The sequence below is a fragment of the Homo sapiens genome, chromosome 16 (assembly GCF_000001405.40).
Source record: "Homo sapiens chromosome 16, GRCh38.p14 Primary Assembly".
NCBI classification, from domain to species: Eukaryota; Metazoa; Chordata; class Mammalia; order Primates; family Hominidae; genus Homo; species Homo sapiens.
In genome coordinates this window covers 88,955,502-88,978,865 of record NC_000016.10, presented here as the reverse complement: position 1 = coordinate 88,978,865, position 23,364 = coordinate 88,955,502, and the positions used below count along the sequence as shown (strand labels likewise).

Genomic DNA, 23,364 nt, shown 5'->3' with positions numbered 1-23,364 from the left:
TGCCTCAGGGCTGGGGGCAGGGCTGCCTGTCTCCTACCCCGGGTGGGGGGAGCCACCACCCTCACCCAGGGTGCTGTCCTGCTGCCTCACGGAGTGGGGGCTGTGCCCCCTGAGACCCTCAGTTCCCCGACTCTGAGACTCTCACTGCACACAGCTGGGGAATAGGCACTGACACAGACCAACCCCAGCCACATGCTCACGGTGGCCCCGGCCCATGTGGCGGCTCAGAGCCTCTGCTGTCTCCACTCCCGGAAACGCTGTAGGAGCTGACGCCGTTAGGATCGTGCACCCTGCACAAATGAGGAAACCAGGAGGGTCAGGGCCCCCAGGACCCTCACTGTGAATCCCACCCTGAGCCAGAGCACAGGGAACAGCAGGGGACGTGGGGACCGAATGATGGCACCAGGGGATGGGCCCCGGGCTGGCAGGAATGTCCCCTCCAGCCTCAGTCCTGGGGGCAGAACGGCCGACCACCCAGGGCAGGGGAGGCCCCGGGTGGGCCTGGCGTCTGGGAAGTTCCCCAGCAGGAACAAACACATCCCCACTGTAAGCTGGACACACACGCTGGCATGCAGCTTGTTGTCACCAACTCGAGAAAGACACTCGACTATTGGGACAGGGAGACCCGGGACACCTGGAGACCCTGCGGGGAAGGAGTCGGCTTTTACTCCTGCACGGCTTGAATTATTAACTGCGTGCAAACGTGACCTAAAACTCAAATCAAATCAAATCAAAATAGCACAGATGCCCGTGAGCCGGCCCTGGGTCTGCGGGCTCCACACCTCTGGCCTGTCTGAGGCCGGGAAACCTCCAGCCATGGCATCAGAAAAGCCACCGAACCAGGGCTGCAGGGCCGAAGGGTCACTGTCCCCTCCCAGGAAGCTCCTGCCCTCTGACAGTTGTCAGGGAGCTTTAGAAAGTGGCTTTTTTTCCCAGCATCTGGGATGTGCCTCACTCTCTCAGCCCAACGGCCGCTAGAAAGGGGTCCTAGGACTCTCCCTAGGGTCTAAGTAGTCCCAAGAGTGCTCTGAGGTGGCTTCTGGAATTTCCCAGACTGGAGAAGCCACCTACCCCCGACCCCCGCAAACTCCAGGCTGCTCACCGGAGGCGGCCGCTGGGGCGTGGGGTGAGGGTCTTTCTGAGGCACCCCCGGAGAGTGGGGGAGCCCTGCTGTCTCCACAGAGGGCCAGGAGCCCTGTGCACGAGGCCAAGCAGAGAGAGAGGGTTTCCTTCCCAGCAGGCGGGAGGTACTTTGAGGACAGGTCAGGTGCCCAAGAACCCCGGAGCAGGGGCTGAGGAGAGGCTGGTCAGAGGCCCCGCCTTGCTCAAGGGCACAGTCAGCAGACACAGGAACACGGGCAGGGTGGCCCCTGGAGCGGGGGCAAACTAAAAGGGGTGCTGGGGAAAGCTCGGCTGACTGAGGGCTAGCGGAGAGGGAGGACACCCCCAGATACCCCAGGCTGAAGGAAGGGCCAAGCCCTGGGGGGAAGATGGGTGGGCGGGACAGGCCAAGGGCTCTGGGCCAGGATGGAGCTGCCCTCAGGCCTGCACACCTGCCCTGGGGCCGAGGAAACACATGCCCAGTGGCCACGCTGTAGGGCTCAGGGTGGGTGGGACGTCACCAGAGCTGCCTGGGAGGAGGAAGTTGTTGGAAGGTCAAACCGGAATGGCCCGAGGGAAGGCCGCGCAGGGCAGGGCCCCAGATGGTTCCTGTCAGGGAAGTGGCGGGCGCAGCTGCAGGCCTCCGGCCCCGGCATTATCACGGGGACACAGCTGGCTGCCTCACCCGCAGGCTGCAGGGAGACCTTCCCCAGCCTGCAGCCCCAGGCCCGCCCCGCGTCACATGAGCCCCAGGGCTCCCACCCCCTCCCCAGGGCAGAGGACACCCAGTTGGTGGCCGGGAGGGCCTCGGCTTTCCAGGGACAGAGGCCCAACTCCAGGACGCCCCAGCTGGCCCAGCCCCTCCTCTTTCCCTCAAGGCTGCAGGAGGTCGGGAAAGGCAGTCCTGGTAGAGGCCTGTCCTGGGCTCCAGGTTGGCCCCTGAGGGTGGCCCTCCTCATGCCGGCTTCAAGACTGAGGGACAGGGCAGCCAGTTCAGCCTCGGGATCCACCTGTGGCTCCATGTCCCAGACGCACCCTGTGCTGGAGAGCGGCCTCCTGGCATCTGCCGGCTGCTCCGCACCCCGGGGTCCCAGGAAGGGCGGCCCAGGTAAGAGGCTCGAGGGGAAGGTGGTGGGGTGGGGGCAGAGAGCGGCAGCCGGTGCCGGGGCTGTGACTCCTTAGAGCTTCGCGGGGCCTGCCCAGCTTAGTTGACAGTGCCGGCACGGATGGCCGTGTTGACTCACCTCAGATATCAACAGGGCCACCCCACAGGCAGGTCCTGCACAGCTGGGGCAGGTGGGCTGGTGAGGGTTTGGCAGGTGCCAGCCAGGTGCCCCAGCCCCACCCAGAGGCAGATGCTGGAGGCCGGGCTGCTCAGCCCCGTCTAGGAGGGTGGGCTGTGTTCTCCTGGGGGTGGGAGGGCCGCAGCCGGGAAGTGATGGGGGGGTCCTAGAAAGAGAGCCCTCCTCCTCCTGGGATGCCCTCCGGGTGTGACACCTCACAGCAGGTTGGATGAGGAAACTGAGGCCAGAGGGGAGGGCACTGGCCCAAGACCCCGGTGAGGAGGAAATGGACCCAACCCTGGGCCCCTGTCCGAGGAACGATTCCAGCCAGGGCAGTGGGGGTTTACGGGGAACCTGGGCCTGCCCTTCTGGGGGCTTCGGGCTCTGGGGAGGGGTCCAGTCCAGCAGGACGCCAGCTATTGCTGATACCCCCCACCCGAGCCTGCGAAGTCCCAGGACAAGGATCCCCGGACGCTGGGGGCTGCAGCTGCAGGCTGGTGGCCCCGATTCCCAGTGGCCCTCGTGGCCACACTCCCAGCAGCCGTCGGAACCTTCAGGAGCTCACAGTCTCCCGTCTCGCGGGGCTCTCACTGAGGCCGTCAGGTCCAAGGTCTGACTGCACCCCTGACACTCACACACAGAACCCGGGACCGAGGGGTGTCCCCATCTCTGGAGACCACATTCCCTGAGCAGGTCCTGGCGGCGGCTGCCTGAGGCTGTTCCCACCTGCAGCTGCCCGTGGGGCCCCAGGGCCATCCCCCACAAGGGCCCCAGATGTGAGCAGGAACTTCCCAACCCCGGGTGCCCGGAATGCAAAGGCCGGACCTCACCACAGCCAGTGCTACTGTTCGTTTCTCCCGAATGGGTGACTCAGAGCCACCTTCAAGGCAGCACCAGCCCACTGGCCCTGGCATCTGCCATCCCGTCCTCTCTGGAGCGGCCCTGTCTATCCCCTGGCGCTGAGTGGCCTTGGGCCGGGTGCTTCCTCCCTGGGCCTCAGTTTCCTCATGGTTCAGACCCTTCCGACCTGCTCCCCGCGTGAGAGCAGGTTCTCACCGGCGCGGAGAGAGACGGGCTCTGAGGCGCATGGAGAGCCGCCGCTTTGTTAGGATGGGGGCGTCTACTGTGGAAGGACGGGGGTGTCTACCGTGGAAGGAGGTTAGGGCCAAGAGGTGGCCCCGTGCCTGAGTCATGCGAGGGGCTGCTGGCTAGAGGCATGAAACAGAGGGTCAGGGCGGGCCTCTGACATGGCTGCAGGTGAGGAGCAGAGGGTCAGGGTGGACCTCTGACATGGCTAAAGATGTGGAGCAGAGAGGGTCAGGGTGGACCTCTGACATGGCTGCAGGTCAGGAGCAGAGGGCCAGGGTGGCCTCTAACACAGAGTACCCAGCCACTGTGCCCACCCCCAGGGAGCCCCTGCTTAGGGGCTGCAATGTGAGGAGGGAGCAGGGTCTCACTTGGGTGCGGGGTCCTGCCCCTGGCTTCTAGGGGCTTCTGTCCGTGCAACCACCCGGCCCTATTCCAGGGTACCCATGGGACAGCCTTAGCCACATCAGGCAGCAGAGTTACATGTGAATACCAGCACTTGGGGCTTCTCATCCTGTACCCCAGGGGCCTCCCAAGGCCCCCAGGGGACAGATGTGGGAGCCTTGTGATGCCAGAAAGCCTCGGCATCAAGCCTCGCCTGGCTGGAGGAGCGGGGGCCATGGGGGGCATGGGAACTGCGGGGGGTCCTGGACAGACCTGAGGGCACCTCAGCCCCACTGTGTGGCTGTCAGGCACACAGGCCTCCCAAGAGTTCCTAAAACCTTTGAGGCCTGAAAACAGGCCGATTGGCTTTAAACTCTGGGGAGAACAGTAATATTTCTAAAAGCTGAAGTAGAAGAACCTTCCTGTCTTTAGACCAAAGGCGTACTGAGCAGGGCTGTGTTGCTGCGCGTTTGGTGGCGGGCAGGAGAGACGTCTGTGTGCTGTGCAGGGGGTGGGAGGACCTCAGCCCCTCGTCTCCTCTGACAGCGTCCTGGGGGCTGAGGTGTAAGCAATCAGAAGATGGCCACAGAGCACACGCCGCCGTCTGGGGGCCGGGACCCCTTCCCTGGGCTCCTTCACCAGCCCCCTCACGCGGAGGGTCTGGATCCTCACTGACCCCTGGGCCCAGTGGTGCAGAAGGAACCCCTGAAGACGGTGCTTGCGGTGCTGGGTTTACGAGGCGCCCGCTGTGTGTGCTCGGAGCTGTGCAGGCTCTCACCGCCTTGTCCCCCCAAGCCCACTTTGCAGAAGAAGAGGCGGAGGTCAGAAAGGTGACCTGACTGCCTCAGGAGAGAGGGATGGGAACCAGGTCACCCGAGGAGGGTGCCAGGGACAGAGATTTTGAAATCCACCTGGCAAGTGTAGGCTGAGGCAGAGAAGTTTCAGTGCCATGTGCTGGGACCTCCATGGGGGAGAAACTGAGTCAGGCCTGCCTGGTGTCACCTTAGAGGGACGACGTGGGATCTCGGGGAGGTGGTGAGCACTATCAGTGGAGGGGTGCAGGCAAAGGCGGGCGGGTGTTATGGGGACCGGGCAAGGCGGGAGATGTTATGGGGACCGGGCAAGGCGGGCAGATGTTATGGGGACTGGGCAGATGCTGTGAAGGCACCATCCGTGCAGGAAGCTTGAGCCCTGGCTGGAGCCCACCTGGCAAAGGGGTCACGTCCAGAGCCTGCGGTCAGCCTGGGCTCCCTCTACCCGACCTTGCCCTTGGGGCTGGGCTTTGCCACCACTCACTCTCCATCCTCCATCCCCTCAAGTGGCCATCCAGGCCCAGCTGTCCTCTGGAATGTTGTGGGTCTGGAACGTCCTGGGTCCAGAATGTTCTGGGTCCGGAATGTTCTGGGTTTGGAATGTTCTGGGTCCGGAATATTCTGCATTGGAAGGTTCTGGGTCTGGAATGTTCTGGGTCTGGATTGCCCTCCCCGGGTGTTTCTATCTCCTGGGGCTGCAGTAAGGATGGGCTGCAAGCTGGCTGGGGGCTCAGAACAACAGAGGCTTCTGTTCTCACAGTGCCGCAGGCTGGAAGTCCGAAACTAAGGCGTCAGATGGCCGTGCTCCTCCAGGTCCTGCCTTCTCCAGGTCCTGCTGGTCCCAGGTGTTCCTGGGCTGTGGCCGCCGTGCCGCAGCCACTACCTCTGTCTTTGCAAGGCCGTCTCCTCCCTCCCAAATCTTCCTCTGCCTCCTTCTTCTAAGGCCCAGCCCACCCTAGGCCAGAGCTCCAGCCACTCACTCTGCACTCCAGGCGGTGGGACACAGGGAGGCACTGGAGAGGCTGCAGGCAGCCCCGGTTATGGGAGGTGCCCCATCAAGGGGGCGCGGTGGGAGGGGGAGTGGACATGAGCAGCCGGGCGGTCTCAGCCCGACTCCTCCTTCAGCCGCAGGCCCTGTGTCTGCTGGGCTTTGGAGCTGGTGGATCATGCAGAGCTCGGCCAGGGTGTCTGTGGGCTCCAGCCAGAGGCAGGGAGGTCAGTGTGTGCATGACAAGACGTCTGAGGCCACAGACAGACAGACAGGCAGCCCCAAGGGTGCCTGCAAAGGGGCCGGATGGTAGCTGTCAGACCTGTGTCTGTGAGCAAAGTGCCATCACAGCCATCATCCCAAGGTCCCCAGCACCCTCAGACCTCACCTCCCGCCTCCTGTCCCCCCTTTTGTTGACCACATGGTGTTGGGGGGCTCCATGTCGGGGAGCCAGCCTGGGAGTGCTGCTGTTACTGCTATCACAGAAGAAGAGACTGAGGTTCTGAGAGGCACACAGCAGGCTCTGCTGACCCTGTGGGGCAGAGGCAGATGGGCTGGAGATGTGAGGATCTTGCTGCTGTGAAATCAGACTGACCGTGGAGTCCAGCCCCAGGCTCGGAGGGAAGCTTGCCCTGGAATCCCTCCTGGGTCAGTCATGGCAGAAAGCCAGCAGCATCGCAAGGGGACAGGGCTGCCAGTGCATGGACAGCTCCATGAGGGAGGATTTACGAAGGTCAGACAGAGGCGGCAGAGTGCAGAGCTCTGGGGCCAGAGGGTGAAGAGGAATGGATGAGCTAGTAATAGAGAGAGGGGCATCCACAGAGGCAGGAAGTCCTCAGGAGAGTGGACGGTGGGACAAAGCCTGACTCCCCCCCAACTATCTCCCCACCGGAGGCTCCACTGGCACAGAGCAGGGAGCAGGGGCTCTGGGCACGTCCTCACTGCCAGGTGCAGCCAGCTTTCCAGGTCCCATAAGTGCACCTCCCTCCCTCCCTCCCCAGTAAGCGTGGCACTGCTTCCCTGAGGCCTCAGTGGCTGCTGGAATGCTCCGCTCCTTCCCCATACCAGCCCATCCCCACACACAAGGACAGCAACCAGCCATGTCCTCCTGTCCAGCAGAAAGACCTTGAATCAGCACCTAGGAAGACAGGGGCGGTGCCTAGGGTCAGGGTGCAATCCGGGCCAGCTTCCTGGAGGAAGTGGCCCCATGGGGGCGGCTCTAGGAGGCCACTCTTTAGGCGAAGACAACTTTCACTTCTCACCACATGTGGACCGAGAAGCAGTGCGTCCCGTTAACCTGCCTGGGCGCTGGGCAGGGGTTTTCCGGCACTTTCACTTCCGTGACTGCAGTTGACCGGGGAGGCGCAGGCAGGAAGAGCGGCCTCAGGGAGAGGCCGATTGGTCACAGCTGAGCCAGGACTCGCCGGCCAGTGCTCCTCCGAGGAGACGTCGGCCAGGGGCAGCTGGAGAGAAGCAGGGAAAAGAGAGGCCTGTCTGAGGGCCGCCCACCCACCCTTTGAAGGAACTCCAGCTGGGAGCTGTGGACTGGGTCACTCAGGTCGACTGTTACAAAGCCAGAGGCCGGCCTGCAGCAGGCGCCAATGAAGTTCTCAGCACAAAACCCCCAAGTCCACCCCCAGGACGGCCGCTCCCAGGCCTGTCGGGCAGTTGCCCAGGACACAGGTCCACAGCGGGGACCCCACCGAGGGGCTTCCTCTCCCAGCTCTGCCCACCCCAGGCCCCAGGCAGCTCTCTCAGGTGGGCAGAGAGTGGCTGGGTCACCATGTCATTTGAAAAATCAAGGCCAGGTGCCGTGACTCATGCCTGTAATCCTAGCACTTTGGGAGGCCGAGGCAGGCGGATCACTTGAGGCCAGGATTCCGAGACCAGTCTGGCCAACATGGCAAAACCCTGCCTCTAGTAAATATACAAAAATTAGCTGAGTGTGGTAGTGGGTGCTTGTAATCCCAGCTACTCGGGAGGCTGAGGCGGGAGAATCGTGTGAACCCAGGAGGCAGAGGTTGCAGTGAGCCAAGATTGCGCCCCTGCACTCCAGCCTGGATGACAGAGGGAGACCGTGTCTTTAAAAAAAAAGGAAAATTGAGTTGATGAAAACACGTCAGCCACATCACACCTGCGCACACCCACGGCCCAGCCCTCCCGGCCCGACCCCACCGCGTCGGCCTCCGGCACTCACAGCCCCGGCTGCCTGGCGGCTCCACAAGCCTCCCGAGCCCGTGCCTGTGCTATGCCCTCGCCGAGGAGCCCCCTCCCGACCGACCTCCTTCCCTCGGTGTTCCTCTCCTTCAATCTGTCACCCCATGAGAAAAACCAGCTGCCCCCTTACGTACTACTCATCCCCCGGCCCCCAGCGTCGGCTGCACGAGACAGGGGCTCTGGTGCCTGCTTGCAGCAGGGCCCTCAGCAGACGGTGCTGGCCCAGGAGGGTGCTGAGCCCTGGAAGGCGTGAGTCTATTCCATCTCCAGGCGAGGCGAGGCCTCCGTGCTCCTGGTCCTTCAGTTGTTACTTGGCTGTGTGCATCCTGCTGGTGCTGAGGCAGGGACTGGCTCCACAGTTTTCCCAGGAACTCAGGCCCTGTGGCCCCGGAGGGAAGGGGCAGACGGCAATCCCTTCCCGGCTTTCACCCGGCAACACTTCAAGGGCATCGCTGACCTCAGATGAGGACACAAATCAGAAAGGTCAGGAAACCAGCCGAGCTCACACAGCGGGGCTGGGGTGGGCCACGTCCTCCCAGGCTGTGCATCTCTGCCAGGGACCCTCCCAGAGGCAAGGCAGCTGAGGTCGCATCTCAGGAGAGGGACCCCACTGCACGCCCTGCTCTGAGACGAGAGCCGCGCCCTCAGCTGAGCCCCTCCGAACCCACCTCTCCGTCTCCTTGCTTCACCTGAGGAAGCCCCACGCAGGTGCTGCCTGACACCCGCGTCGCCGACCCCTGGATCAAGCACATCCTGACACCCAGCTGATCACACAGCAAGGCTGCCGGCTTGGGGCCGCCGCCACCGCCTCCTGGAGTGAAATCCTCTCTCGGCCCAGGACAGCTGCAGAGCAGCCGTTTCACTGGCAGCTTTTGGAGAGTGGGCCAACCCCTCCCCCAGGCCTGCCTCCCACTGACGTGAATTTCCATCAGCTTTTCCAGGCGCCCCCTTTGTGGAGACGAGGACTCCTGGGGTGAGGGCCCCAAGTGTGGCTTTCTCCCTGGGAGGAGTGGGGCCAGAAGGCATGCCCTCCTGAGAAGACATGGCAGAAGCCTCCAACAGCCACAGCTTCTGGGGCTCATTTTGGGAGGCCCCTGTGGAGGGGGATGGGGTGAACCCACAGCCTTGCAGAAGATCGGGGGCTCTGCCAAATCGCAACCCCCCAGGCCATGCTCACCCTAACTGGACCGGGTCCACGGTGCCCTCTAGTAGGGCCCACCGGGAGCCCCAGCACCTGCCCCCCGGCACCTGCCACTCGCACCCTGGCAGCCAAGCCTGGCCTGCTGCCCTGAGCCTGCAAGATGCAGCCCCACGGGCGGTGCTGAGGTCTGTGCGTCGTCAGGCCGGCCCCGCCCCCCTCTCCCTCGGCTCCCTGGTCTGTGAGGGGCAGTGGCTGGACCCGACCATGGTGGGAATGGAAACTGCTGTCCACCGGCCACGCTGACCCCAGCCTGTCTCCTGTTTGTAAAACGGGGTGGCGGCGAGCCCCTCCTGAAGGCTGGGGTGGGATTTGGTGAGGAAAGACCCTCTTCCTGGCACTCCTTCCCAAGGGGCCCCGCTCTTGCGACCCCCGCAGCTGGCCCTGCAGACACCAGGCCTCCCACCCCTGCCAAGGCCAGGAGGCACCAGCCGGGAGGGAGCCCAGTAGAGAAGGAACTGGAGAATTCACCCCACCCTGTGGGCTCCCGGAGCTTCCTCCTGAGCTCCCAAGTCCAGGTGTGTTTTGAGTGTCTAGAAAGTCCCGACTTCACAGACCTGAGGGGGACAGAGTGGGGGAGGGGACCTTGCAACCGTCCCTCCAGCCGTGTCCGCTGCAGCCCCTCACTCCAGATGGCGGTGACCCCGGCGGCATCCGGGCCAGGCTGCAGCCGAATCCCAGAGCCGGTGGAGCCAGCCTGACCCAGCCGACTGCTCACGAGAGGATGGGGGATTCCTCAAAACGGGGGCACCAGGCCGCACACTGGGGCTGGGTCTGCTGAGGGCTTGCTCTGGCTGGGCTCCCAGATTTAGAGAGCAGATCTTAGGCTCCTGGCCCCCGATTTGTGTGAGGCCTGCAGCGCTGCAGACCCTGGAGCTCAGAGGGGTTATGGTCCATGGGGGTCACATGGCACTCAGGTCCAGGGCCTCGCCACCCTGTCACTGCAAGTCACCCAATCAGCCCCCACCCGCTGACCGCACACCCCTCCGTGCCAGGCGCAGGGTGCAGAAATGAAAGAGGCGTCCCCGCTGGAGGGGCTCGGTGCAAACTGGACCCCGAAGCTTCTTGCCGCTTATTCCCAAGGGGGCCTGCAGTGGTGGGTGTTGTCCTGACACCCCCAGCCCCAGACAGACGGACTGACAGGCGGGGGACGGACAGCCGTCTCAGCTGCTTCTGCCCCTCCAACACGGCAGCATATTCTAGACCAAGGGTTGGGACCACGTGTTCTAAAAGGTCACCAGCAGGTGACAGAAGATGCCAGTCAGATCTGCCCTCATCTGCTCTCGGCCCCCAGGGGCTTCTCCCACCCCAGGTCCTCCTGAGACGCAGCTGAGGCTGGGCCTGGCTCTGTCCCCACTGCCAGGAGCCGTGAGGCTTGTCCTGCGGCCCCTCAGCTGGGGCTTCCTCGTCTGCAGTGCAAGGGGCCGTCCCCACCTGGGGGGCTCTCCGGGCGGCGGGTGGGAAGGGAGACAGCAGGCAGCCGCTTCCTGGCGAAACTGAAACTGCCAGGTGCTTCCCGCCCCTCCCTACTGAGCCCCTCCCCAGGGCCAGAGACAGCTGGGACGGGCAGTCCTGCGGCCAGGGCCCCTGGCAGTCCCCTGTGGTCCACCCTTATTCGGCCTCTCACCAGGGCGTGCCTCTCTGGGCCTATTTCCTCCAGGTGGGCCCCAGCATGGGCGGTATGGGGGGTTCCTCATCAAAGCCCTGTGGTCACATGGTCCCAACTCAGCCCCATGACCCGTCGAACCCACAGAATTTCAGTCACTTTAGTCATGGTGCGAAAAGAAGGATGCAGAAAGCTTAAAAGTTTATAAACTGAACATGTGTGAAAATGGTGACATTCTGGAGGCCACAGAGCGACCTCTCCTCTTTCCCTTCTACTTCCTACCTCTGGCTGCAAGGGAGGGTGGGCGCCTCCACACAGCTCACGCCGACCCCCGCTGGACGCGCTGCTCCGGGGCAGGGGGCGTCCTGAGTTCCCCGGTGCCCTGGACAGGAAGGGGCAGTGTGAGGGCTGAGCCGCGACGAGCCCCCAGGCAGTGTGCGCCTGACCCTCACCCCTGTGCTCTGTGGCTGATCTTTAACCCCCCAGGAGAAGCCAGGTCGCGGGAGCCACGCAGGGCAGCACGCCGTCCCCGTCCCCGGCCTGCTCCTTCCTTCCCTCTTCTTTATAGAAAGGAATTCCTGTAGGTCCAGTGTCCCCAGCCCGGAAGGCCACCCCACCTGGGGGCGGCGAGATGGGATCAAGGGGTTGGGGGGACCTAGCTCAGAGGCTTAGCCACCCCACACCCCACCACGGCTTCCTCATCGGTAAATGGGGCAATAGCAGTCCCCGTCTCCGGCACATCTGTGAAAACTGAACAGGTGGACGCATGGCAGCACTTAGGGTGTGGAAAGCCGTCCCCAGGCATCCTGCCCCGTCCCCGTCGCTCCCAGGCAGTGTGTCTCGCACAGTTACAGAAAAGGCATCGAATTCTCATTTTCCTTTGCAATTTCCTCTCTCGACACCTGCGAGGCTGACTGCATTGAGCATGGTGCTGCCTCGTGTCGGGGCCGAGTGGCACCTCGGGGGCTGGGGGGGTGGCATGGCGCTGCCTCGTGTCGGGGCCGAGTGGCACCTCGGGGGCTGGGGGGTGGCATGGTGCTGCCGCGTGTCGGGGCCGAGTGGCACCTCGGGGGTTGGGGGTTGGGGGTGGCACACACCAGCGCACTGTTCTCAGCTTCCCTATGGAGAGAGGTTGAGTGCGTCAATTTCCCGTGCTACAAACAATGCTTCAATCAAGGATGCTTTCCCTCGTCCCCTGGGGCCCACATGGTTTCTCCAAGGCAAACACAAGACATTGGCCACAGGGACTAGAGTGTGATACGAAGTTCTCATCCTGGGCTTCCAGAGTCCAGGGTGGGTGTGGGCCCTATCCCGGCTTCCTGGGGGAAATGAGCGCCTGGTCTCTGAGGGGCAGCAGTGGGCGTGCTGCATCCGACTTCCATCTGGGTGGCTCTGCAAGCCAGGCAGGGCCAGGGCACGGGAGTCACTGGAGACGCCCCCCACCCCAACCCACCCAGCTCGTGTTCAGAAAGGCCTCTGTCCAGCGCAGGTGTTGGTGATGGCAGGCAGTGGTTCTGGAGGTCAAGAGTGTCCATTGCTCCTGGAGGAATTCCTTGTTTGTGGAAACCAGGGCCGGCCTCCAAGGGAGGCTGGGAAGCTGGGCGCTGGGCAGGGCCTGGCACCGGGTGCTTCTACTGCTTCCACTACTGAGTTCATGGGAGGCCAGAGGTTGATTGGGCCTGGTCCTCGTCTGGACATGGGTTTGGTGGTCACCCCAGGTGGGATGAGGGTGTGGCAGGGGAGGTAGCCCAGCCATGCTGCACAGGTGGGAGAGGGGCCGGGAGGTCTGTGGACTCGCGATCCCCCGCTCTGCTCTCCTCTGTGGGCACTCACAGGGGCTGCCACCCCCCTACCCCGGCACAGGCCTCACTCCTGCCAAGGACCAGGGTAAAATGGCAGCCCTGTTAGCTGGCTGCTCTGGAGTCTGTCCCTAGAGACGGCCTAATGTGGCCAAGATGTGTTTCAGGAAGCCGTGCTGTGACTCAGGTCGGGGAAGTCCTGGGACTGTGCAGGCCAGTGAGCAGAGTGACCCTCAGAGCAGAGCGACCCACACAAACCGGGAAAGCCCACTCCGTCCAGAGGGGCCCCACCTTGCAGCTACGAGAGGAGGCGAGGTCTGCTTTCCCTGGCCAAGGAGTGGCCCAGGGGGAACTCTGTATGCACCCATGCTCTGTGGGGTCTCTCTGTTCCTGCTGCCGAATGGGCCCCCGTCCCCTCCCCTGACATCAGCCCACAGAGGAGGGACCGGGCACAGTGGAGAGGACCTGTCAGGTGCCAAGCACCAGGCCCGATTCTCAAAGCCGGTGGTTCTGTGGGCTTTTAATGCTTTTGTTTGCGAGCTCCCTAAAACTTTTTTTTGACAAGCCAAGTTCCCCTATAAGATGAAATTGCTTACAAAGCAGCCTCACCCAGCCTGGCCACACACAGACCTTATGCTGCTTCGTTTTTGGCAGATAATGGTGGCCCAGGAGCCACTAGAGAGGTTTTCAAACATGACAGGTATCTGTGGACAAGACGTTGTTAAAATAAATAAGGTGACAGCTGCACCCCGCAACCTCACCACTGGGTCACAGAAGAACAGCTGCATACAGTGTGTGAGGCATGTGTTGGCCGTGGCACACACCTGTTCTGCAAACTCTCTGCCCCGCAGGGACCTAGCCCCCTGGGTTGTAGAAGCAGGATTCGGGGCCTGTGGCTGGCGCTGCGCACCAAGTATCCTTCTAAACCAAAGGCTGGACACAGGACCCTTGGCAATGGTGCCACATGGGCCAATTTGCAGCCTCTAAACATTGATTAAACAGTCTCAAAAACTGTATTTTCTAGCATACCTAATATGTTACCAGTGTTTGGCATCTGGTCTTATGAAAATCTGCACATTTAGCTCACTTGATTTATAGAAATGCTGCCTTAAAAACAAAGGGCAGAACTGGTCCTCACTGAAAAACAATCTGCCCAGACTGATGTTTGTCAGATATTAATTCAAATAAGCATGTTATTAAATGATCCAAATGCCTCACTTTGAATTCTAATTGTGATATAGATGGATGGATGTGTGGGTGGGTGGGTGGGTGGATGGATGGATGGATGGATGGATGGATGGATAGATGGGTGGGTGGATAGATGGATGGATGGGTGGATGGATGGATGGATGGAGAAGTGCATAGGTGGTGGGTGGATGGATGGATAGATGGATAAATAGATGGTGGGTGGGGTAGGTGGATGGATGGATAGATGGATAGATGGATGGATGGATGGATGGATGGATGGATGGATGGATGGATAAGTGGATAGATGGTGGATGGATGGATGGATGGACAGTTGGATAGATGGTGGGTGAGTGGATGGATGGGTGGGTGGATAGATAGATGGATGAATAGATGGGTGACTGGATGGATAGATGGTGGATGGATGGGTGGATGGATGGATGAGTGGGTGGATGGATAGATGGGTTGGTGGGTGGATAGATGGATGGGAAGATAAAAAGGTAAGGAAGCAGGAAGGAAAGGTCAAAGTATATTTTTCAAATCTTAAAAACATAGTTCTTATACACACATACAGTAAGCATGTGTGAAAGGTGTATTATTCCGCGATGAGGGAGCCAGTCGGGCAGCCCAGGTGATTCAGAGGGGACGAGGGACATTAAAGACCCCATGAAGAAGGAAAGCCACACGGAACCTGACGAGTGGGAATTAGTGAAGTGCAATCTTTCTTCAGAACAACAAGTAGCTTGCAACTTGTCAGTTTTCTGCACCCTAACCCTAACTGAAGCCTCACCAGCAGTAAATTAAAAGTCAAAAGAGGCCACTGGGCCCTTGGCAGCCTGGCTAACACCAGGAGGGCCAGAAGTCAACGTGATTTTTTACACCTTTGGGTCTGTGGTTTCCGAACAGGAGGCAGGCAGGGCATGGGGCCTGCCCCAGGTTTTCACTGGTGGGTCGAAGCCCTGTCATCAGACTCATGCTAGAGAGAGGCAACCCATGAATTGGGGGAAGAGCAGGCAGGAGCAGCACACAGCTGACCCCAAGCCGTGTTTGCAGAACAATCTGGAAGGTGAAGACCCACATATGGATTCCTTTAAGCCGATCGGCCCAGGTATGCAGATGGTCTTGTGTGCGTGGCCCTTTAAAGACCCCCATAGAGCTGTGCCACCTACCTCACAGGTGCAGGGCTGGGAGCTCTGGGCAGCTCTCTGTCCTCTCCTCACTGCAGACAGAGCTCTTCTCTTTCTCAAGATGCACTGCAAGCGAGATGCAGAGTCCCCTAAGTCACCACGAAGAGACAGAGGCTCAGAGGGATGAGGAACCCACGCCCGTGTGGCCAGGCCAGGCCTCCTGCCTCAGACGTGCACGGACCCGAGCCTCCCTGCATTCCAGGATCCCGCAGAACCCTGAGTCACAGAATGCGGCTCTCCTCGGGCCGCTGTGTGCCTGGCTCACGAAGTGTCAGCTGAGCAGGGAAATCCAGGCATGACGCCGCTAAAATCTATTCCTGATGCGCACTGCAGCGCGGTGCTTCAGCTCTGAGAACATCACACTAAGTGAAAGAGCCAAGAGGCCGCATACGGTCTGGTCCCATTTTATGGAATGTCCACGATAACAAATCCACAGAGACAGAGTGGATTTGGGGTCACCATGGGGAGGGTGTGGAGAAGACAGTGACAGCTCCTGGGGCCGGGATTCACTGCGAGGTTGATGATGTGCTCTGGAGTTAGGTGGAGGCGCTGGTTGCAGAACGTTGTCAGTGTACTAAATACCACTGAATTGTGCACTTTAAAATGGTGAAAATAGTAAATTTTATGTTCTGTTTATCACAAATTTTTAAAAGATCTTAACATTCTTAAAAAAAAAAAAAAGCCTGGCAGAAGATGAGCGCCCGCCCCTGGCAGAAGATGAGCGCCCACCCCTGGCAGAAGACGAGCGCCCACCCCTGGCAGAAGATGAGCGCCCACCCCTGGCCTTCCCCCACTGTCCCTGGACTTTGGTAGAAACTCCTTACAGCCTCTGTCCAAGCCCCCACCTTCTCTCCCTCCGGCCCTGGGCCTGTGTCTGCTTCTTCCAGCTCCCCCTCCAGATTTGAAGAAGCACCCCCAGCATCCTGCCAGGCCCAGCTACGCATCTGCCCAGGGCCCCTGGCACTGACTGTGTCCCTGCAGCTCAGGTGCTGAGGATGTGGCTTTGGACCCAACCTCCGTTATCTCCCCTCTGCAAACCACAGAGTGGGGTGGCGTGCCCTGTGCCCTCCTGGAGGCCCTGTGGAAATCAAGCAAGTGGAAGTTTTCAGACACGCGGGGTGGGGTTGCCCAGCTCCCTTCCGAGTGGACCTGGGAATTCATGTCGGTGCTCAGAAGCCGTGCAGGGTCAGCGCCCCTCATCTCCAGGGTTCGGGGCACAGACGAGAAAGCAGCAGCAGGCTTTGCTCCCCCTGTTTTCCCACCAGGCGACATCTAAAGACACCCATGTTCGTGGCTGGGCCGAGCACCGTGAGGACCACAGGAGGTGCTGGGTGGGAAGGCACTGGCTCCGGCTACGTGGCTGTCTCCCCCCGAAACGTGGTCCAGGGGACTCGGCATCTGTGTTCAGTCCTCCCAAATGTGCCCTTTGGTGATCTGGCCCCACCACGTGCCCTCAGGGTGCAGAGTGGCCTGGGCCCTGGGCCTCTCCTTCGGGACTCACGACAGGCATGGGTAATGGATCACAATGCTTTTCCTGCTGAGCACAGAGGAAGCCTCAGCGTCCCCCACAGGACAGTGACCCCAGCAGACACAGTGGACACAGCAGCCTGGGAAGTGCATTCACCTTCGAGGCTGGTTCATGGCGTCTCATGTTATTTGTGGAAAATAAATATCCATTGGCAATTGATGCTTTTGTAAAAGTAAAAAAGTACGAGTATGCAGTGGAAATCTCCAGTGCTGAGTATCAGTTACTATGGAGTGGGAAAGCCGAGTGCTGAGTGTCAGTTACTATGGAGTGGGAATGTCCAGTGCTGAGGGTCGGTTACTATGGAGTGGGAATGCCCAGCGCTGAGTGTCGGTTACTATGGAATGGGAATGCCCAGTGCTGAGTGTTGGTTACTATGCAGTGGGAATGTCCAGTGCTGAGTGTCGGTTACTATGGAGTGGGAATGTCCAGCCCTGAGGGTTGGTTACTATGGAGTGGGAATGCCCAGTGCTGAGTGTCGGTTACTATGGAATGGGAATGCCCAGTGCTGAGTGTCGGTTACTATGCAGTGGGAATGCCCAGCGCTGAGTGTCGGTTACTATGGAGTGGGAATGCCCAGCACTGAGGGTCGGTTACTATGGAGTGGGAATGCCCAGCGCTGACTGTCGGTTACTATGCAGTGGGAATGTCCAGCGCTGAGTGTCGGTTACTATGCAGTGGGAATGCCCAGCGCTGAGTGTCGGTTACTATGCAGTGGGAATGCCCAGCGCTGAGTGTCGGTTACTATGGAGTGGGAATGCCCAGCGCTGAGTGTCGGTTACTATGGAGTGGGAATGCCCAGCGCTGAGTGTCGGTTACTATGGAGTGGGAATGCCCAGCGCTGAGTGTCGGTTACTATGGAGTGGGAATGCCCAGTGCTGAGTGTCGGTTACTATGGAGTGGGAATGCCCAGTGCTGAGTGTCGGTTACTATGGAGTGGGAATGCCCAGTGCTGAGGGTCGGTTACTATGGAGTGGGAATGTCCAGCGCTGAGGGTCGGTTACTATGGAGTGGGAATGCCCAGCGCTGACTGTCGGTTACTATGCAGTGGGAATGTCCAGCGCTGAGGTCGGTTACTATGGAGTGGGAATGTCCAGCGCTGAGGGTCAGTTGCTATGGAGTGGGAATGCCCAGTGCTGAGGGTCAGTCACTATGTGGTGGGAATGCCCAGGGGTGAGTGTCGGTTACTATGCAGTGGAAATCTCCAGTGCTGTGTGTCAGTTCCTACAGAAGGTTCCGTCACTCCCCGTGCGCCCCCTGTCTGGGAACCACCTCTCACGGGCTCTGGCGGCATCCACAGGCCCCCTTCTTTACAGATCTGTTACAGCAGGTTTAGAAAGCTCTAGAGACACCAGATCAGGATCAAAGCAAGGAGAGGCCGTGGAAGACAGAAGGCAGAGCCCCATCCACCACCTGCCCACAGCGAGACCTCAGACAGGTCTCACAGCCTCTCTGGATTCTGTGACTTCATCAGTGAATAGCATTACAGTTAAAGTCAAATTTCAGATAAACAAATTTTTAAATCGTAAGCGTATCTCAAATATTGCCTGGGACATGCACTAAAAATCAGTTATCGTTTATCTGACATTCAAATTTAACCAGGCATTCTGCATCTGTAATCTCCAAAATCTGGCAGACCTCCCTGTGATGGATTTGATCCCTGTAGCCAATAGGATTATGTCAGCTGCAAATCACAGAAAACCTAACGGGGGTGTAAACAAGGTTTGTTTCTACATGACCAAACCCAGAGGCGGGTGGCCCAGGCCAGTGCCACAACGACACTGTCTGGTACCTGGCATTTCTGCTCTTTCAGCTTCACTATCCTCTTGCTTATGGTTTCCTGGCTGCAAAGTGGCTGCCCCTGCTCCAGGCATCATGTCTGCATTCCAGGCAGGAAGGAGGAAGAAGGGGCAGAGGACAAAGACTAGGCCAGCCTCTTTTCATAAGGAAAATTGAGATTCTTGTGGAGGCCTCACTCAGCCGACTTCTGTTTATGCCCCATGACAAATGGATTCGTTCCGGTAGGTTCCAGTCCACAAATCAATAGTGTTCAAATGTGACACTCCCGAGGGCCTTCTCACACCAGGATTTTCAAACTTCTTTCTTCACATCTTCTCTGCTATCTTCAAACAGCCTCTGCACCCATAACCCCGTCGACCTGGCACCTGGCCCCGTGAGTTCAGCAGAGCAGGTGACGCAGTCCCATTTCACAGATGCCGTCCACATTGAACTTAGAGCTTGAGGCAGAAGAGTGCCCTGCCCTCCCAGCCCAGCAGGTGTAGGCCTGAGTCATTCAATACCACTCACATCTCGTGGGCTGTCCTGGGAGGGCAGACAAACCTGGGAATCAAGGACTTTGTCTTATCTCTGCCTGTTTTCTACTGAAAATCATCTGAGGGAAACAGACTCATCTTTCCTTGGAACCTTAATGATTTATTTATTTATTTTAATTTATTATTATTATTTTTTGGAAAATCTGGCTCTGTCACCCAGGCTGGAGTGCAGTGGTGCAATCTCGGCTCACTGCAGCCTCCATCTCCTGCGTTCAAGTGATTCTCGTGCCTCAGCCTCCTGCCAAGTAGCTGGGATTACAGACGCCCGTCACTGCATCCTGCTAATTTTTGTATTTTTAGTAGAGATGGAGTTTCACCATGTTGGCTAGGCTGGTCTCGAACTCCTGACCTCGGGTGATCTGCCTGCCTTGGCCTCCCAAAGTGCTGGGATGACAGGCTTAATGATCTTTTTAAACAATGAGCCACCTTTCCTCCTGTAATCCCAGATACCGTCTCTGCCCTGCTCCCGTTTTCTCTCCATCGCCTTTCCCAGCTGCTGGGAGGAAGGAGGAGGAAAAGGAGGGTTTCCCCGGGACCTTCCCTCTCCTGCACCTGGGTTCCCTCTCAGGCAATCGCAGCATCACATTTATTTCTAGAACATTCTCTACTGCGCCTGGCTTTTACAGGTGGTATGACCCATGCCACCTCCTGCCTCTGCCTGCACCTCTGTCCAAGACCTGCAGGCTCTGTAAGCGCTGGGTGCTGCCTTGGTGCCCGGGCCTCCTCACAGGCCCTGAACACCCACGTGCCTCCAGCCCTGGGCGTGCATGCGTGTTCCCTCCACCTCTCCTGGGAGCCCACCATCATCGCCAGGACTACTTCAACTCTCTCCCGCAAGGAGACCCCTCTGCTCCCCCAACAGGGTCATGCCCTGTCCCCACCACCCGTCCGCGGCCACAGCAGCTGCTCATGTGACTGTCCATGTAGCGTGTATGAGACCAGGACACAGCAGGCCCAGGCCAGACCTGAACACATGGCACACAGCACATGTGGCGTGCCTGCCAGTAAGGACGGGGGCACACGATTCAGCGCGTCAATCAGCAGGGCGCTGCCCCTCCAGCTGCTGGGACCTTGGCATCGCGAGGATGGGGCTTCCTCTCTGTTCCCCTCTGAATCCTGGCCCTGGGTTGGTGCGGCACAGCCCGGGCACACAGCACTTGTCTATTAGGTGAATGAGCAGCTGACAGGGTTGCCAGGGGTCGGGGCAGAGAGAGGAATCAGCCCTCTGGGAACTCAGGCCCGCTCCATGGAGGCAAAGGGAAAAGGGCGGCAGAGGCGGTACAGGGTCCCACTCTGACCATACCCCTAGGGAGCCAGGCCTGTGGTGTGAGAGCTGCCCACGGGGGACCCACACCTGCAGCGGGAAGAGCCCAGAGCCAGCGCAGACCTGGGCTACGCTGAGGCCCTGAGGCCCCAGCCCTGGGAGAGCAAGTTCATCTCCTTCCAAAGGCCACACCGAGGCCCCCAGCCCCCGGCCCTGGGGGAGCGAGTTTGTCTCCCTCCAAAGGTAGTGCTGGGCTGCTGGGCGGCGACTGTGCTTCTCCACCTGCCCCCACCCAGGCCTCAGTCTCCCCATCTGAGAAATAGGAAGGACACCTCTCCACCAGCTTCTGCTCCAGACGACACGCGTGTGATGCCCAGGGATGTGGGGCACTCACGAGCGCTGCACCGGGACCTGGTGTCACTCTAACGCCCCGCCCCAGAACCTTCTTCCCCCGCCGCCCCGCCTGGCATTACTCTAACACCCCCACCCCAAATAAAACTTCTCCTTTCCTTCCTGGAGGAGTTCCCCATTCGAGGTGACCACATCAACCTCAACTTCTCCCTGGGAGCTTTGGGCTCTTGAAGCTATTTTAGGCTCAAAATAGCTTTTTGAGGAAGCTCAAAGCTTCCCTGGGAGCTTTGGGCTCTCGAAGCTCTTCTGCCATAGCCTGTGCCCAGGGCCCTTTCCTCTCGGGATAGGTTTCTGCCGTCTGAGGCCCCGACAGCCTGACCAGGCTTCCTACGGCCTCGTGGGTGTGCACGGCCTTGACACCCATCCCGCTACTGCCCTGGTGCGCTGACAAAGTTCCGTGGCCTCTCTGTGAGCGAGGGATTGTGAGCAGCTCACAGGTACTTTCGTTCCGGGTCTACTGTGGTTTTCCAGCAGCCTTGTTGAGGTATAACCCACACATCTTACAACTCACCCATCTCAAGTACACAAGTCAGTGGCACTTAGCAAAGCCCCAGAGGTGTGCAACCATCATTGCTAACAAGTTTTAGAACATTTTCCCCCAAAAGAAACCCCATGCCCACGGGCAGTCAGGCCCGTTCCCTCCCTCTGCCCTGCCCACCACTGATCTGCTTCCTGCCTCTGTGGATTTGTCTTTTCCGGTGTTGTGTGTAAGCGGGATCCTGTGTCCAGCTCTTCCACTCGCCCGTGTTTTCTGGGTCCATCCCCACTGGAGCGTGTGTCGGACCTGCCTTCCTTCTTATGTCTGAATAAGTGTGCACTGCATCTGCTTTTGAGTTTATCTGTGCTCGGCTGACAGTCTATGGAGAACCTTGTCTCACCACAGCTGTGTGTCTCAGGTGAGCCACTGACCCTCTCTGGGCTTCCCAGATGTACACTGAGGACAGGTGTGGGGGTCAGCAAGGGGATGTGTCTGGGGGTGGAGGGACTAGCTATCACCTTTGCGTCGTCCTCCCTGGGCTGAGGGGGCATCGTGGTCTCTGTGCAAGCTCCGACCCCGTTTGTGCTGTGTGAGTAGCACTGTTATCCCGAGTCAGGTGACAGCCCCACGGAGAGTGCTCTGCCATGTCTGCTACTGGCCCTGAAAGGCAGTGGCATCTGCCGTGGGGGCGGGGGTGTCCCGAGGGCAGGGAAAGGCAGCACTTCTGACCAGGAACCTCTGGGGCCATCAGCTGGCTGTCCAGACTGTGAGGTTAGAACCACCGGCAGCATTTGGTGAGAGGGAAGATGCCGGGGAGTGGGTCGATGGGGGAGGAGTGAGCAACCAATCTCGTGTGATGATGGTTCTGCTGGGCAGCTGCCCGTGGGCATAACCTCTGGGGCCTGAAGCCCAAGGGCGGTTTTGTTCCGGGAGAGAGCGTGACAAAGACGTAGAGGGCCCCGACTTCAGGCTGCCGCAGTCTCCGGGTGAGCCACTCATTCTGTGGTTCAGCCGACTTCAGGCTGCCGCAGTCTCCGGGTGAGCCACTTCTTCTGTGGTTCAGCCTCTGCATTTCAGAGGCCCTGGCAAAGTACAGTGTGGACTGGAGGGTGCCAGGCAGCTGAGAACCCCAGGGGCCGGGCTTGGTGCAGCTGCTGCAGGCCCCTGTGACGCCACCTGGAGAAGGCACAGAGGGAGGGCAAGGGCCATGCGGTCCAGTTCCAAACTCGGTCAGGAAAGCAGCCGAGGAGCAGATGCCAGCCCCCGCCGCCCACGCCTGGAGCGCCTCTTTCTCCCAGGGCTCCGCCAGCAGGGTCCACCAGTAACAGACACCAGGCCAGGTGGGGCAGCTGCAGGTTGGGGTAATGGAGACAGAGCCTATGGGTCCCAGCCTCGCCTCCCTCTGCCACGGTATTGTGTGACTCTAGACAAATGCTTTCTGGGCCTCCATGTCCCCTGCTGGGAAGCCCCGACCTGTGGAACTAAATGAATGGGGCCATGCCTGTGAGGCCAGTAGAAGCTCCGCGTTCCTCTACCCTCCACCCTCCGGGAGCTGCTGGGCTCTGAGCCTGGGGGAGCAGGGTCATCCTGGGCTCAAAGAGCAGAGAGCCCTGAGACCCCTGGGGAAGAGCAGGCGGACACGCTGTGTCCCGGGGACCCGGCGGGTGGGTGAAGGTCTCCCGCCCACCCTGGCACAGGCCATGAGCTCCGTGTGCGTGGGGTTCTCCCGTGATGCAGGTCTTCGCCCTCCGTCACACGCGTGATAAACAGGCTCTGACTCAGTTTCCTGGCCATTCTGTCTGGAGGCTCTACATGGCCTCGGGCTGGGGCCAGGCGGCTGCCCTCCACGGCTCTCCTGGCAGACAACTGACATGGAGTCTTTCCCAAAGCCTTTGAGTCTTTCCCAAAGCCTCAGGGAGCAGGAACTCGGCAGGCCTGGGGGTTGGCAGCCCTGGGCAGGGTCGGGAGCCCTGGGTGGGGTCAGGATCCTTGGGTGGGGTCAGGAGCCTTGGCTGGGGTCAGGAGCCTTGGGCGGGGTCAGGAGCCTTGGCTGGGGTCAGGAGCCTTGGGCGGGGTCAGGAGCCTTGGCTGGGGTCAGGAGCCTTGGGCGGGGTCAGGAGACTTGGCTGGGGTCAGGAGCCTTGGGTGGGGTCAGGAGCCTTGGGTGAGGTCAGGAGCCTTGGGTGAGGTCAGGAGCCTTGGGTGGGGTCAGGAGCCTTGGCTGAGGTCAGGAGCCTTGGGTGGGGTCAGGAGCCTTGGGTGGGGTCAGGAGCCTTGGCTGAGGTCAGGAGCCTTGGGTGGGGTCAGGAGCCTTGGGTGGGGTCAGGAGCCTTGGGTGAGGTCAGGAGCCTTGGGTGGGGTCAGGAGCCTTGGGTAGGGTCAGGAGCCTTGGGTGGGGTCAGGAGCCTTGGGTGGGGTCAGGAGCCTTGGGTGGGGTCAGGAGCCTTGGCTGGGGTCAGGAGCCTTGGGTGGGGTCAGGAGCCTTGGGTGGGGTCAGGAGCCTTGGC

General features: G+C 60.2%; 1 protein-coding gene across 5 annotated transcripts in view, besides 11 other annotated features; it reads left to right on the top strand.

The window, feature by feature from the left end:
- Positions 1,238 to 1,287: an enhancer, noted in NCBI's record as "active region_11384". NCBI's record gives its function as "activates an Ori minimal core promoter by ATAC-STARR-seq in GM12878 lymphoblastoid cells {active_cell/tissue: GM12878}" and the evidence as "EXISTENCE:reporter gene assay evidence [ECO:0000049][PMID:35858748]".
- CBFA2T3 (CBFA2/RUNX1 partner transcriptional co-repressor 3) overlaps positions 1,659 to 23,364 on the top strand; it is a 102,350-nt gene continuing 80,644 nt past the window's right edge. For all 5 annotated transcript variants that reach the window (XR_007064926.1, XM_005256323.6, XM_047434826.1 and 2 more), the window contains exon 1: positions 1,659 to 2,209. Coding sequence is in view for 4 of the 5 variants with exons in the window: in XM_005256323.6 (XP_005256380.1) it covers positions 2,059 to 2,209 (151 nt within the window). In the remaining variant the exon portion in view is untranslated. The remainder of the gene's footprint in view (positions 2,210 to 23,364) is intronic.
- Positions 2,990 to 3,534: an enhancer, noted in NCBI's record as "H3K27ac-H3K4me1 hESC enhancer chr16:89041740-89042284 (GRCh37/hg19 assembly coordinates)". NCBI's record gives its function as "activates a minimal SCP1, AML or CMV promoter by ChIP-STARR-seq in naive H9 embryonic stem cells {active_cell/tissue: H9 hESC(naive)}" and the evidence as "EXISTENCE:reporter gene assay evidence [ECO:0000049][PMID:30033119]".
- Positions 3,128 to 3,337: an enhancer, noted in NCBI's record as "active region_11383". NCBI's record gives its function as "activates an Ori minimal core promoter by ATAC-STARR-seq in GM12878 lymphoblastoid cells {active_cell/tissue: GM12878}" and the evidence as "EXISTENCE:reporter gene assay evidence [ECO:0000049][PMID:35858748]".
- Positions 5,476 to 5,635: an enhancer, noted in NCBI's record as "active region_11382". NCBI's record gives its function as "activates an Ori minimal core promoter by ATAC-STARR-seq in GM12878 lymphoblastoid cells {active_cell/tissue: GM12878}" and the evidence as "EXISTENCE:reporter gene assay evidence [ECO:0000049][PMID:35858748]".
- Positions 5,816 to 5,885: an enhancer, noted in NCBI's record as "active region_11381". NCBI's record gives its function as "activates an Ori minimal core promoter by ATAC-STARR-seq in GM12878 lymphoblastoid cells {active_cell/tissue: GM12878}" and the evidence as "EXISTENCE:reporter gene assay evidence [ECO:0000049][PMID:35858748]".
- Positions 6,966 to 7,105: an enhancer, noted in NCBI's record as "active region_11380". NCBI's record gives its function as "activates an Ori minimal core promoter by ATAC-STARR-seq in GM12878 lymphoblastoid cells {active_cell/tissue: GM12878}" and the evidence as "EXISTENCE:reporter gene assay evidence [ECO:0000049][PMID:35858748]".
- Positions 8,998 to 9,853: an enhancer, noted in NCBI's record as "H3K27ac-H3K4me1 hESC enhancer chr16:89035421-89036276 (GRCh37/hg19 assembly coordinates)". NCBI's record gives its function as "activates a minimal SCP1, AML or CMV promoter by ChIP-STARR-seq in naive H9 embryonic stem cells {active_cell/tissue: H9 hESC(naive)}" and the evidence as "EXISTENCE:reporter gene assay evidence [ECO:0000049][PMID:30033119]".
- Positions 10,823 to 10,882: an enhancer, noted in NCBI's record as "active region_11379". NCBI's record gives its function as "activates an Ori minimal core promoter by ATAC-STARR-seq in GM12878 lymphoblastoid cells {active_cell/tissue: GM12878}" and the evidence as "EXISTENCE:reporter gene assay evidence [ECO:0000049][PMID:35858748]".
- Positions 11,113 to 11,162: a silencer, noted in NCBI's record as "silent region_7890". NCBI's record gives its function as "represses an Ori minimal core promoter by ATAC-STARR-seq in GM12878 lymphoblastoid cells {active_cell/tissue: GM12878}" and the evidence as "EXISTENCE:reporter gene assay evidence [ECO:0000049][PMID:35858748]".
- Positions 12,675 to 12,734: an enhancer, noted in NCBI's record as "active region_11378". NCBI's record gives its function as "activates an Ori minimal core promoter by ATAC-STARR-seq in GM12878 lymphoblastoid cells {active_cell/tissue: GM12878}" and the evidence as "EXISTENCE:reporter gene assay evidence [ECO:0000049][PMID:35858748]".
- Positions 21,918 to 22,063: a silencer, noted in NCBI's record as "fragment chr16:89023211-89023356 (GRCh37/hg19 assembly coordinates)". NCBI's record gives its function as "represses an EF-1alpha promoter that drives an FKBP-Casp9 reporter gene in an ReSE screen in K562 erythroleukemia cells {active_cell/tissue: K562}" and the evidence as "EXISTENCE:reporter gene assay evidence [ECO:0000049][PMID:32094911]".